At 42.0% G+C, this 14,310-nt stretch overlaps 1 annotated feature.

Moving 5' to 3' along the window:
• Window positions 7,609-7,708: an enhancer, noted in NCBI's record as "active region_29440". NCBI's record gives its function as "activates an Ori minimal core promoter by ATAC-STARR-seq in GM12878 lymphoblastoid cells {active_cell/tissue: GM12878}" and the evidence as "EXISTENCE:reporter gene assay evidence [ECO:0000049][PMID:35858748]".

Raw genomic sequence — 14,310 nt, forward strand, 5'->3', positions numbered from 1 at the left:
AAAGTGAATTAAGAAAGTGGTCATTCAAGTTGCTCCCAAGAGGAAATAGAGAGATACACAATTAATGTCAACACCAAGAGGCAAACATGACATATCCATGAGACTCTGGAGACAGAAGTGGCACTTAACCTGAGAGGAAGAGAGGGTATCAGGGGAGACTTCACAGAGGAGGTGATTGCTATTTGGAAGAAAGATTGCAAATTGATCCCAAAAAGAAGGAAGGAAAGGGTATCCAGGCAGAGACCAGAGCAAAAGCAAGGCGCAATGACACTTCAAATAATCCAGCCGGATGCATTTCAGAGCAATGAGCAGGAATGGTCACTAGACTGGAGCAGATTAGGAAGGTACACAGTAAGTTCTGTTTTGACAAGTGGAGTTGGCATAGCCTGCAAGACAACCAAGGGGAGAGGGTTCCAAAATAACTTCAGCTGTGAATGTTTGGCTCAAGAGAAGGCTAGAGCAAAGAATCACTGCATTAGAGATGAGGAAACAGACTCAGAGAAATGAAGCAATTGGATCAAGATCACACTGGAATTATGAGTGAATGAAGCCCAGGCCTTCTCCCCAGCAGCCCAATGATCCTGCCATCACCTGGCTGGCTTTCATCAAGCCAAGCCTCCATGCTGCACTGGAGAAGATGTCCCTGCCCAGACACCTCACCATTTGCACTTCCCAGGCCACCCTCTGCTTTTCTGTAGCGTGGAGAGTTCACCGTGATCATGGGAAGGCCAGGGCTTGTCCAGGGATTGGGCTAAGATGCTCCCATCACTAACTTGACTTGAAGAGTCATTATATGTGGGTGACTGCCCACACACCAGTAATTATCCAACCTGTTTTAAAAAATCCCCTGTAATAGAACAGGCTCTGTTTCATTCTGAAGGATGTCAGATTTAATTAAAATATTGTTCCACGTGTGTAAATATAGGTAGAGGAATAAATATAAGCATAGCACAATTAATCTTCTCTACTGTCTCTGATTTAGAATCTGGAAAGTCATCATTTTTATAGAACCCCCAACTTATCACTGGCACATACAGAGGACAAGTAACAGTCTGTTAAAAGCCATTGGGGAAACAGATATCATATTCCCTGGGAGACAAAGACCAGACTGCTGGTAGACTCTCAATATTTCAATATTTGTTCTTCCTTTCTTCTATAATAACAGAATGCCCAGCCTTTATTTGATTCATGGCCAGAGGGATAAGAGAAGAAATGATGTGACAAAATAAGGCAGGCACAGAGTGATAAATATCACACGTTCTCACTAATATGTGGGAGCTAAAATAAAAATGATCTCATGGACATAGAGAGTAGAATGATGATTACCAGAGGCTGGGAAGGGTAGTGGGGCATGGGGGTATAAAAGGGAATTGTTAATGGTTTTTTTTTTTTTCTTTTTGTACTTCAAGTTCTGGGATACATGTGCAGAATGTGCAGGTTCGTTACACAGGTATACACGTGCCATGGTGGTTTGCTGCACCCATAAACCTGTCATCTACATTAGGTATTTCTCCTAATGCTATCCCTCCCCTAGCCCCCCACCCACTGACAGGCCCCAGTGTGTGATGTTTCCCTCCCTGTGTCCATGTGTTCTCACTGTTTAGCTCCCACTTATGAGTGAGAACATGCGGTGTTTGGTTTTCTGTTTCTGTGTTACTTTGCTGAGAATGATGGTTTCCAGCTTCATCCACGTCCCTGCAAAGGACATGAACTCATCCTTTTTTATGGCTGCATACTATTCTATGGTGTATATGTGCCTCATTTTCTTTATCCAGTCTGTCATTGATGGACATTTCAGTTGGTTTCAAGTCTTTGCTATTGTGAATAGTGCTGCAATAAACATGAATGTGCATGTGTCTTTATAGTAGAATGATTTATAATCTTTTGGGTATATACAGACACTTCTCAAAAGAAGACATTTATGCAGACAACAAACATGAAAAAAAGCTCATCATCACTGGTCATTAGAGAAATGCAAATCAAAACCACAGTGAGATACCATCTCACGCCTGTTAGAATGGCGATCATTAAAAAGTCAGGAAACAACAGATCCTGGAGAGCTTGTGGGGAAATAGGAACACTTTTACACTGTTGGTGGTAGTGTAAATTAGTTCATCCATTGTGGAAGACAGTGTGGCAATTACTCAAGGTTAATTGTATTTTAAAAAATACAGTTAGAGCCCGACACGGTGGCTCGTGCTTGTAATCCCAGTATTTTGGGAGGCCGAGGTGGGCAGATCACCTGAGGTCAGGAATTTGAGACCAGCCTGGCCAATACGGCAAAACCCTGTCTCTACTAAAAATCACGCAAAAATTAGCCAGGCATGGTGGTGTGCACCTGTGATGCTAGCTACTCAGGAGGCTGAGGCAGGAGAATTGTTAGGACCCAGGAGGCAGAGTTTGCAGTGAGCCAAGATCGCGCCACTGCACTCCAGCCTGGGTGACAGAGTAAGACTCTGTCTCAAAAAATAAATAAAAATTCTAAAAATAAAAAATACAGTTAGAAGGAATAAGATCTAGTGTTCGGTAGCACACTAGAACAATTATAGTTAATAATTTATTGTATATTTCAAAATAACTAAAATAGTAGAATTAAAATGTTCCTAAGACAAATAAATGATAAATGCTTGAAGTGATGGATATGCCACCTATCCTCATGTGATCATTATACATTGTTTGCTTATAGCAAAATACCACATGTACATCATCAATATGTACAACTATTATATATCCATAATGATTAAAAATTTAAAAAAAAGAAAGGTGGTGCCCCCCTCTCCCCTTTTTCCTTGTTCCTTTCCAGGGAGACAAAGATAACAAGCTAAGGTAGCAGAGCAAGTGGGGGAAGGAGCCTGGGTCCCTAATGGGTGGAGCCACAGTACACAGAGAGAAATCAACTCTCAAGCCACTGTGGTGGATCCCTGTTACAGGCTGCTGCATCAATACCCTATCTATTGCAGACACCAATTTTAAAAGGATTCACCAGAAAATCTATGACACTATGCTTATTAAAGAGAAAAGTTGTATCTCATTTTTTTAAAATGGAGGCATAACCTAAATACCAATGTGCAAAATCCTAAGCGGGCCAGAGCTTGGTGAAATTTGCCATATCTATATGCTTATGAAACTATCATTCAGCTCAAGATGTAAAGCAGGCATGAGCAAACTCCCGCCCACAAACAGAAAATCCGGCCTCCTTTTTGTAAATAAAGTTTTACTGGAACACAGTTGTGCCCATTTGTTTACGTATGATTACGTATCATCTGCTGCATTTGCACTTCCATCAGAGTTGAGTAGTGATGACAGAGACCACATGTCTGTGAAGCCTAAAATATTATCTGGTCCTTTACAGGAAAAATTTGTCGACCTCTCTTATAGAGTATTCTGGAGCACACCAGAAGGCTCCCTCATGCCGTAAAAACGAATTTTTCCATCAAATCTTGGACTCAGGAAGCAAGAATGATTATAGAAAGAGGAATATGCAAGGAAGATAGCATTTGCCATACAGGCTAGAACCCTCTATTGATTTTGTCTCTTACTTATGGGCTAGATTTTGTAGCCTCCGTTGATTTTCTCCATTTCTTTGGAACAATCAAGCGTCTGACAGTTTTAGCTTGTCAACAAGTAGCCTGCCAATGGATTTCAGAGCTTCTATTTTTAAAATTGTCTCACAAGAGTGACTAAGAATTACATTTAAATGAACAGGAATGAAGAGGGAAACAGATTCCCTAGGCAGTTGTGGTCCTTTGTTTGGTCTGTAATTTTGTAGTCACATCTGACTGTGGTCCAGTTCATACAATCCTTTGTTTAGGTATTGGATCGATCTTGCAGGACATGGAAAATGAGAAGGGAGGCTGAGATTTCACAAGTTTGCCTTGGCCCCATTTCTTTTTTTTTTTTTTTTTTTTTGCCCTTACGGCATCCATCTTATGATTTTTTTTCTTGCCTTTTGAACTTTCTTCACCTTCAGTCTGTTCCTTGAGTTTTGCACAAGTTCTCTAAGGTGTCTGCTCTCTTGACAATACCAGGAAAGAGCCAAATAAATCAACCCAACAGCTCAATTGCACCTCTTTTATTGCCTAGGCAAGAACACATGCACGCCCACAATAAATCACCACCGCCCAAGAAGAGCATGTCCCAGATTAACGAGAAGCTCGGCCCTCTGTCTAGAACACTTCAAGAACATTGGATGTTCTTGAATTGGGATGGTAAGATGGTTCCCCTTGAATAGATGGTAAAGAACAGGTGTTCTCCTCCACCACAAGATCCTGGAACGGAGGCCTCAAATTCTGAAGCATTTTATCCTGTGCTCCACCCCATTTATCCAAATACAGACAACCAAAGGGCCACTGTGATAATGGAGAAGACACCCTGGACACACATACCCCAGAGGACAGGCAGAACCAAGACCACACCCAACTCACAAAGAGAATCTCTTCCAAAAATTTGTATTCACGTTTTAAGAACTCTAAAAGTAGGCTTACATTGGAGCAATGATTTAATGGGTGGCAGGCTCTCAGCCTAATTCTCCAGTCAATTCATTCTCTCCAGTCAAGTCATTATGGCGAGATCTCATAAAATAATGATCTTGCCAGTGTCTCAGAAACCTTAAGAAAAAAAGACTTTCTTGGCTAGCCCAGAAAGCAAATGACTACGTGTGTCACTGTTTCAATGAGTGTGAAGAGGAAAGCAAGATGTGGGCACAGAGGGTAGTGAGCTTTTTCCTCTTCCGAGCCACAACCCAGCCCTGTGCTGAGAAGGTGCAAAGTTTGAGGGGGGTGAGGACCTGAGGGTGAATAGTCATGGGGCTGAGAGGGATCTAGAAGGAGAAGTTGGGGCTCCAACCATACCCCTTGTGCACTCTGGCCTGACTTCCAATTGCCAGTATCTCAGCTCTTTGCCTGATGGTGGCCCAAGTCTCTCCCAGCCACAGCGGGCTGGAAGTACCTGAAAATAACCCCGCCTGGAAGTAGCTCTCAGGTATGACTGACCTCCCTCAACCTTTAAGAAGTCTGAGGCACATATTCCACACTGGTACCCCAGTGGGAATAAGACCCTGTTGCCCACAGTGAAAACTGCCTGATAAAAGCTCTTCGTATTAGCCTCCTTCCATTACCTATCTCACTTTCCCACTCCCAACCCAGTACTTCCTGGGGTCACCCCTCAAATAAATGACTTGCACTTGAATCCATATCTCAAGGTTTTCTGAGGAAGTGCTAACCAAGGCATTCGGGACAATGAAGGTACAAATCCGGAGGGGTGTGGGCAGATAGGCAACCCCTCTATCACCCACCCATCTCCAGTCCATGTGTGAACCCACGTCCTGACCCATCTCAGCAAGGGTCTGTAGACCCTCCGGTGCCACTTTGCAGAGCCACTAAATTGCAGTACCCAAAACACGAAATTATTTAAGAAATATGCTTGACTACATGTGAATAAGGTAGTGGGACTAAATACAGCCCACGACTGTTGCTTTTTGGCAATTACACAACGCCCTGAAATTGCAAATTGAGTGCAATAAGTTATTGAAAGTGCCAAGTTACTCTTAACCAGCTAGGGAGTTTTAATACCACTTTTAATTTTCTCTCTATCCCTATCTCTATCTTTCAGACAAAGAAGCCATACTATTCTTGCTTCAACAAGAGAAGTGCCATTTCCTTCTGTGGCCCTTGCTCAGGTGTTAGGGGTTGCTTCATTGCGATCTTTATTTTTTTGCGCCACCTCCCTAGGTCCCATCCTCCTAGTGAAAGGCCCCCCGCCAACTCCCCCACCCCGCCAATCTATCCACATGGCAGCCATCTCCCCAACACTGCCCCCAGCTCTTCCTTGACTGCACTTTCCCTCTGGGAATGCAGAGACAGCATCTTCCCCTCTCTATGTAAGTCAGGGAAATCCAAGCTCTCCTACTCCACTCTCTCCTTAATTTCACACATTAACACAAGGCTGTGTGTATGCTGTCTGCCTTACTGAAAGGTAGAAAAATGACAGCCTGGAAATAGCTTGTATGGGGATTCTGCATCAGGCTGTTCCCAGAGTTTAACAAAGTTATAAGGATAAAGTCACACCTTTACCACAGTACCTTCAGGAATGTGAGAGGCAGGTGGCATAGTCTTTATGGGTGTGGCTCTGAAGCAGCTGGAATGCATGAATCTAAGTCTAATCTATCATTCCTATGTGACTTTGGGCAAATTGCTTCAACGCTCCATGCCTCAGTTTTCCCATCTGCGCATCAAGGACAATAACAGCACTTTGCTCATAGGGTGTTTACAATATATAAATGAGTATAGAGTGCTTAGCACAGGGCTTGGCATATGGCAAGCCCTTAATAAATGTTAAGAGTTGATATTGCAAACCAAGCTCCCTGCCTTGCTTCTCTCTTCAAGACAGAGTCCATTCTTCACATTTCCATTTTCAAGCCTTCTCCCTATGGACAATATTTGGACTTGTCTAGGTCCTTTCTCCACCATGGCCACCCTCAGGACATGATAATGCCTAGAAACATTCAGTATGGAGGAGCCACAGTCTGGGCTACTCTGAAAACCCTCTGAAGCACCTGTCAGTGGCAGGAAGGAGACTCTGTTATTCTTCCTGCAGTGTCTCAGTTTCCTACGAGTAACTACTTCTTGGTGGACTTGTATTGTTACATGCATGTGCACATGTGTGTACACACACACACTTGCAAAGGACAGTGATTCTCAGAAACTGGGGAGTCTCAATCCATGAAGGGACAATTGAATCTGCCTTGGTTCTCCTTCCCACGATGGAAACACCAACATATATTACTGCTGTATAGAAGGTGGGTTCTCTATTCACATCGTCCTGCTTCTAAGAAGAATATTGCTAGGGGCATCGTAGTACACAAGAAGCAAAGCCTATAATAGCACCACTTCAAACAGCAGGGCCATTTACCTTTAATTTCTACTTTTAGAAATGAAGTATACAAAGGCTTGGCACAAGATCAGAATCAGACACTATTCTTTACCTTGGACCAGAAAAAATTCTAAGGCAGGGTTACCACCCCCTTCTAGTTTCTGAAATGGAAAGGAAAAAGCATAGAGATGTATTTTCCCTTGTCCGCAGCAAAGAGCAGGGGTGGCTCTTCCAACTGTATTTGTTCAACACATGTTAATTGGGCACCTATAATATGTAAGTGGTGGACACTGAATGGAAATCCAAAAAACATAAATCTGGTCTTGTCTTTAAACAGACGGTAATCTAGTCAGAGGCAGGGGAATGCTTCAGAAGGACAGGCGGAGAAAAAGAGGTGGTGCCCTGATCACTACTTTACACCACCAAGTGCTTGGTCCTTGGTAGCAAAGTTTAAACTATGGTTTTAAAAAGAGTTGAAGTCTGGGGCAAGCCTAGTGTGTGTGTGAATCCATTCAGAGCCCAGAATTCATCTTAGCTATGATTTTCAAAAACCACCCATACTATGGGCTTTTCCTTTATATAGCTCTTCAGTCCACACATATCTGATAAAGTCTACAACTACATGCATGCATCCTAGATAGATCGTCTGTGCTGCCCCATAATTCCTACCAATCCCCCATTCTATTGTCAACTGCCATCTAACATCTGAAGGGGTTTGGGGCAAGAGTTTTTAGGAAAACATTTTGAAGTAAGAGATTGAGTAGATGATTCTCACTTAGGACATCACCATCATCCTGGCACATTTGTCTTCTGTTAGCAGACAATGTCACTATAAGAAAGAGAATACCAGGCAGTCCAAGGAGAGAGAATGCTGACCACAAAGCATTTTTTTTTTTTTGAGACGGAGTCTCGTTCTGTCACCCAGGCTGGAGTGCAATGGTGCGATCTCGGCTCACTGTAAGCTCCGCCTCCTGGGTTCACGCCATTCTCCTGCCCCAGCCTCCTGAGTAGCTGGGACTGCAGGCACCTGCCACCACGCTCGGCTAATTTTTTGTATTTTTAGTAGAGACGGGGTTTCACCTTCAAAACATTTCTTACGTGGTGGCTCTCCAAATTAAAGAAAAGGTTTTAAATGAATGATGATGAATACATACCCTGCTCTGATTGGTAACTTTCACCATTAAACCTGCAAATTAAAAGGCATTTAAGCCAAAATTCATCCTCCCCACAACCTTGAGGGAATGAGTCACTGAAGCAATTCTCACGTTTCTCCAGGCAGAAAGACAGGAGACTTTCCAAAAAAGGTTGTAGTTTTCCTGTTTCCTTGGCTGCCTCCACACATAGCCCAGCCATGACCACATGTGGTGATGGGCAGGAACCTATTGCCTTATTTGGCAATCTTGAGCCCTCTTTGTAGGGCTATTGGGGGCAGGATGAAAAGTCCAGATCAAAACCACAATCGTGAAAAACAATGGAGAGTCAGATAAAGGAAGTAGGCATTTTATCTAGATTAAATATAAAATATTGACCCAAGAAGTAAATGTTTTCATATGCATTGCTTCTTAAAGGACTCGTAGGAAAATATTTAGAATCTGCCATTTTTCTGTAATAATTTCACTCATTTTCCTTCTAGCCATGATGCTGACTGCATTTCCCAGCTGCTGCTGAAACAGCTCTTCTGTTGGGGGAGATTATGTGGGCTAACATTCACCCACGATTCTCTAAACTGATGTTTCTCAAGTATCCTTCATTCTGACCCCAACATGTGCTGTGTGCATTCATTACTGCTGACAGCAGGAACAGTGTGGGTCCCAAACAAGGAGATTGCACAATGAGAAATGGAGGCTAAGGGCATGAATGTTCTGAATTTTATAGCTTCCTGTCTGCTTTCCCTTAGGGGAATATAATTGGGGGACTGGACCCAACACAAATCTCAACTACGCATTTAGGCCTCCACAAAGAAGCAAGACTTCTAGTCCTTTCTGGAGCATTGCAAGCTGTACAGAAAAAAATACATTCCTCAGGGATTCTGCCGGCAACCACTCCTTTTATTCTGTGGTTCCCCAAAGATAAGGTCAGTCAGCTCAGAGAGGAAAGGAAAATGGAATGGGGAGAGACAGGATCAACCAGTAACGGGTGTGTCATCTCAAACTGGAGTGTGTGTCCATTGTCAACCCCAAGAAACCCAGAAAAACAAAATCTTTTTCCCCAGGTGGTGAGAGTGTCAACTGCATATGAGAGGGAAGGGTGCCCTCTGCTGTCATCTGTGATTTTTGGTTTTTAATTTCAAAGGAAACGTTCCAGCTCCATGTAAATCAGACTTAAACATTTTTGCCAGGCACGGTGGCTCAGGCCTGTAATCCCAGCACTTAGGGAGGCTGAGGCGGGCAAATCACAAGGTCGGGAGTTCAAGACCAGCCTGGCCAATATGGTGAAACCCCATCTCTACTAAAAATACAAAAATTAGCTGGGCATGGTTGTGGGCACCTGTAATCCCAGCTACTTGGGAGGCTGAGGAAGGAGAATCGCTTGAACCCGGGAGGCAGAGGTTGCAGTTAGCCAAGATTGTGCCACTGTACTCCAGCCTGGGCGACAGAGCGAGACTCCATCTCCAAACAAACAAACAAAAAACAAAAAAGGAAACATTTTACACATTAAATAGGGAAGCCAAACTTGGGATTTTGACCGTCTTAACTAGGCTGGGTTCTGTGTCGGATGAGAGAGACTTGAGGGATAGCACAGGCAGCAATCACAATTCCATTTCAGATGTCCTGCTGAGAGAAAATTGTGGTTTGGAAGAGGGCCTGTGAGCTTTATATATTCAGGACAATTTGCTTAGAAATAAAACGACTTCTTGGGAGCAGGGTTCTCCTTGGGTGGCAGCATACTTGGACAGCATCTCCATTTGTTTCCCTGTCCTTTCCCAGTAAACCAATTTGGGTTCATTATTAGATTCCTGAGTTTGTTTCTTTGGGAAAGAAAAATAAAATACAGTTCTCACTTAGGGAGATGGAAGGCAATGGCTTTGCATGAAGATACGAATTTAAAACAAATAAATACAAGTGTTCAACTCTGATGAAAGATGAGTTGTATGATTTAATGTGCTTTCCTAGGGACATGTAAATTAACTGAGATATAAAATAATGAATCTGCACATCTGCCTTAGAGTTCATCCAAATGCAATCTACAAGGCAAACTTAATCACGGTTATAATTAATACTTTGCAAATGGAAATGACTGGAAATGAAAGGCCGCAAACAACATCGATATTAATGCTTCAGTATTTGTTCTCTCCCTAGTTTTTACTTTCAAAAGTGTTTTTATCATCTTCTACAAAAGTCATACCTTGTACTTTATAAGGCATTTTGTTATATAGCCTCTTTATAGCTGAATTCATCCCATTATCAAAGGGTCATAGTTGGATTACCTACCTACTTAGATGTTTCTAAACATTTCTGATTTCATTTTGCATTCTAGCAACCGGCTGACTCCACCCGAACTCGGGACTCATGACTCAACCAGTCCTTTGGCCCCCACCCAGAGGCAGGCTTAGCTCACAAGGACTATTTTCCACACCCCTATGATTTTATCATTAACTAATCAGCAGCACCCATTCCCCAGCCCTCTGCCCACCAAATTATTCATAAAAACGCTACCATCTGAATTCTTGGGGAGGCTGATTTAAATAATAACTCCAATCCTTCTGCTTCGCTAGCTCTGCATTAATTAAACACTTTGCTGAAAAAAAAAATCTGGTTTCAAACATCTATCACTTGAACCCTTTTGGATTTAAGTAACGGAACCCAACTTGACCAAGGGAGGATTTATCTGCCTATGTTAATCAACATTAAGGTCAGAAGTGCAGCTAGATCTCAGAGAGGACAGGAATCAAGAGGCTAAATTGCATCAAAGTTTTCTCCATCTTTCATCAGTGCTAATTTCATTCTCTTTTCTCTTGAGATTGGCTTTTCCTATGAGAAAGAAACCATGGCTGCTGGCCACTTTTGGGTTCATATTTCCCCACCTCCATCTTCCAAAAGAAAAAAGGATGCCTTCTCTTAAATCCTATGTTTTAAATCCCAAGGAAAGTTTCCGATTGCCTTTGCCTAGGTTATGAGTTCATATATGTGGCCAGGGTGGATGGGGTACTAAGATGGACAATTAGAAGAAAGTAGACCTGTATAGACAAAATAATAGAACTTTCTTTCATGGGGCTTTTCTTGTGTGTCAGGCACTGTGGTAAGCATTTTTTCATTTTTTGTACATAATTTCCTTTAATTCCCCAAACAATCCTACAAGAAAAGTGTTATTATTAGATTCTGGAATTGAGATTCAGAGTTTAGCAACTTGTCCAAATTTGCACAGCTGGCAAATTGCAGAACTAAACCCATCCCATTTGTCTGATGATGTATGTTGGTTTCTGCTATAGAAAAAATGATTTCTGGAGTTCTGGTCAAGATTACATGCAACCTATTTGTACGCAAATCCTGAATATAAAAATTCTGTTTTTGAATTGAGGACAAATAAGCTATGATCCATACTTTCTTCAGCATAAGGGCTGAGTTTTGTTCAGTTTTGTTTTCCTTTTAACATCTCATCTAATGCCTTGGACATAGTAGTTGCCAAGTAAAAATGATTTTTAGGGTACAGTGAAAGGCCTTCTAACTACAACTAAAAATGCGGATGTAAGAAAAGATTAATAAATTTGACAACATAAAAATTAAAATATTTTTTGCACAGCAAAAAATGATGTAAAGAAAATCAAAAGACAAAGCGCAAGAAGAAGCTCTTCTTGCCCTATGAGGAGAAGCTTGCCCTGGGAGAAGCAATTTACAACAAATCTTACAGCTAAGGAGCTAAAATTCCTACCATGCAAAGGACTTTTTTAGTTGACTTTTAAAAGGCCAAAAATGCTACAGAAAAATGTGCAAAAGTCCTGAGCAGACAATTCGCAAAAAGAGATGTAAAAATGACTCTTAAACTTACAAAAAGATGCTCAGCTTCATTCATAACAAAAGAAATGCAAACTAAAACTACACTGCGACACCATTCTCAGCTATCAGAGTGGCAACAACTCAAACCTGACAACATGTTCTGTTGTTAAACTGTGGGGAAATAAGCACTCTCATTGCTAGAGGAAATGCAAAACTGTGCAATATCTATGTAGGGATATTTGGCAATATCTAACAAAACCACATATCCATTTACCCTTCCACCTAGCAATGCCACTTGTAGAAATTTACACTGCAATACACCTCTAACGATATTAAAATGCATATGCAAAATGTTATTTATTGCAGTAATATTTGTCAAAGCATAGGACATTGGTTAATCAACTATGGTGCATCCACACAGTGGAATACTATGCAGCTAAATTAAAATCACCAATGAAGGGCAGCTAAATTAAAATATGGTATGCCTCCAGATGTGTTACCCTGAAAAAGATACAATATCATCTATATGATATTCTGCCCAAGAATGCATAACATCTTCAGATTTTCATATCTGTGAGTACAGGACCCTCCTTTCCCTGTGGATCCCAAAGCAATACCTGGAGGGCTTAGGGAGGGGCACCTTGTTTGTATAAAAGAGAACCTGCCTGTACTGCAGTCTACCCCATTCTTAATAAAAGAAACTCCAAGCTTCCAGTTGTTCGGGCTAAAAGCTTTTGCTCCTCAAGATTCAATATCTCCTTCTTTTATATTTTTAAAAATTATTTTATTTTTATTTTTCTTCAAGACAGGGGCTAGCTCTGTCACCCAGGCTGGAGTGCAGTGGCATGATCATAGCTCACTGCAACCTTGAACTTCTGGGTTGAAGTGATCCTCCCGCCTCAGCCTTCCTGAGTTGCTGGGACTACAGGCACGTACCACCAAGCCTGGTTAATTTTTAAAAATGTTTTATAGAGATGGGAGTCTCATTATATTGCCCAGGCTGTTCTCGAGCTCCTAGCCTCAAGCAATCCTCCCGCCTTGGCCTCCCAAACTGCTGGGATTACAAGCGTAAACCACCAAGCCCAGCCAGTATTTCCTTCTTGATAAATTGTAAGAAAAATATAGAGGACTTACTCTTTGTATATCAACATTTGTCTCAGAGGCCCTCTGCTCAGGCACCTCAGGTTTTGGGGAAATAGGAAGAGGATCAGAGGATAAGCAGATTAACACCTACCCCAATCCAAATGTTGGGACTGTACAGCTGGTAACGCTTACGAATATGATATCTTAATAAATTATTAGTTTTGAAGCCCACACTAGAAACCCCTCATTCATTTTTGTAGAGCCAGAAGCACCATTAGATAGTGATAGAGCCCATACTTCCCCTCACCTTTCACTCACCAGCACTCAGTCTCATGGCTACACCTAACTGCAAAGGAAGCTGGGAGATGTAGTCTGGTCATGTGTCCAAGAGAGGAAAGGAAATGGTTTGGTGAACAACTAGCCAGTCTCTGCCACTTTGATAGTAGACTACAAAGAATGTCTTCCCTTTCACTAGTATGAATCTATTATTATTAAATATCAAAACTTATTCTTTATATTTTTAAAATTATGATGGTTTTTTAAAAATGTATTAAATGGGTAACCTACATGAAACTCCTAATGGTGCAGAAAACCCATTAAGTAAACTATAGCTGCCAAACTTTGAGTAACATGGCAGAAAAGTCATATCAAGACATTTCTCAGAAATTTTCCTAGGTAATGGTAATTGAGAGACTGTAGATAGCAGGCTGGTTTCTCCATAAGGAGCAAAATTAAGTGTTGCTGAAGCAATTCTGAAGTTCTAGCTGATAATAACTGCACACCAGCTGTTCCCATTTTATAATACTTTTCCATAAAGCCCCATATTTTAGCTTTTGCCTTTTTTTTTTTTTTTTGAGACAGGGTCTCACTGTGTCACCCAGGCTGGAGTGCAGTGGCACTATCTTGGCTCACTGCAACCTCTGCCCCCAGTTTCAAGTGATCCTCCCACCTCAGCCTCCCCGAGCAGCTGGGACTAGGGGCGCATGCCACCACGCCCAGCTAACTTTTCTATTTTTTAGTAGAGAAGGGGTTTCACCATGTTGGCCAGGCTGGTCTCAAACTCCTGACCTCAAGTGATCTGCCCGCCTCAGCCTCCCAAAGTGCTGGGATTACAGGCATGAGCCACCACGCCCGGCCTTAACTTTTGCTTTTTAAAAAATCTTTTTCCCTTATTATGGAATTTGTATCTTTTACCTGTATGGTGGCTCAAAAGTGAGCAAAGTAAAAAGAAGGAACGCTAAGATTAGAAAAAAAAATAAGAAAAAATCCACAGGACTTCAGAAGTGACAGGCAGCACTTGTCCTTTCTAATGAAAGGTTGGATCATTGTCTGTTGTTGGGGCTGAACCCCATCTGGAGCTAGGGGTGGGAGTCATGAGAACACGGTACAGTTCCCATGATTTTGCCATTGGCCATCTTCTCTC

The sequence above is a fragment of the Homo sapiens genome, chromosome X (assembly GCF_000001405.40).
Source record: "Homo sapiens chromosome X, GRCh38.p14 Primary Assembly".
Classification (NCBI taxonomy): domain Eukaryota; kingdom Metazoa; phylum Chordata; class Mammalia; order Primates; family Hominidae; genus Homo; species Homo sapiens.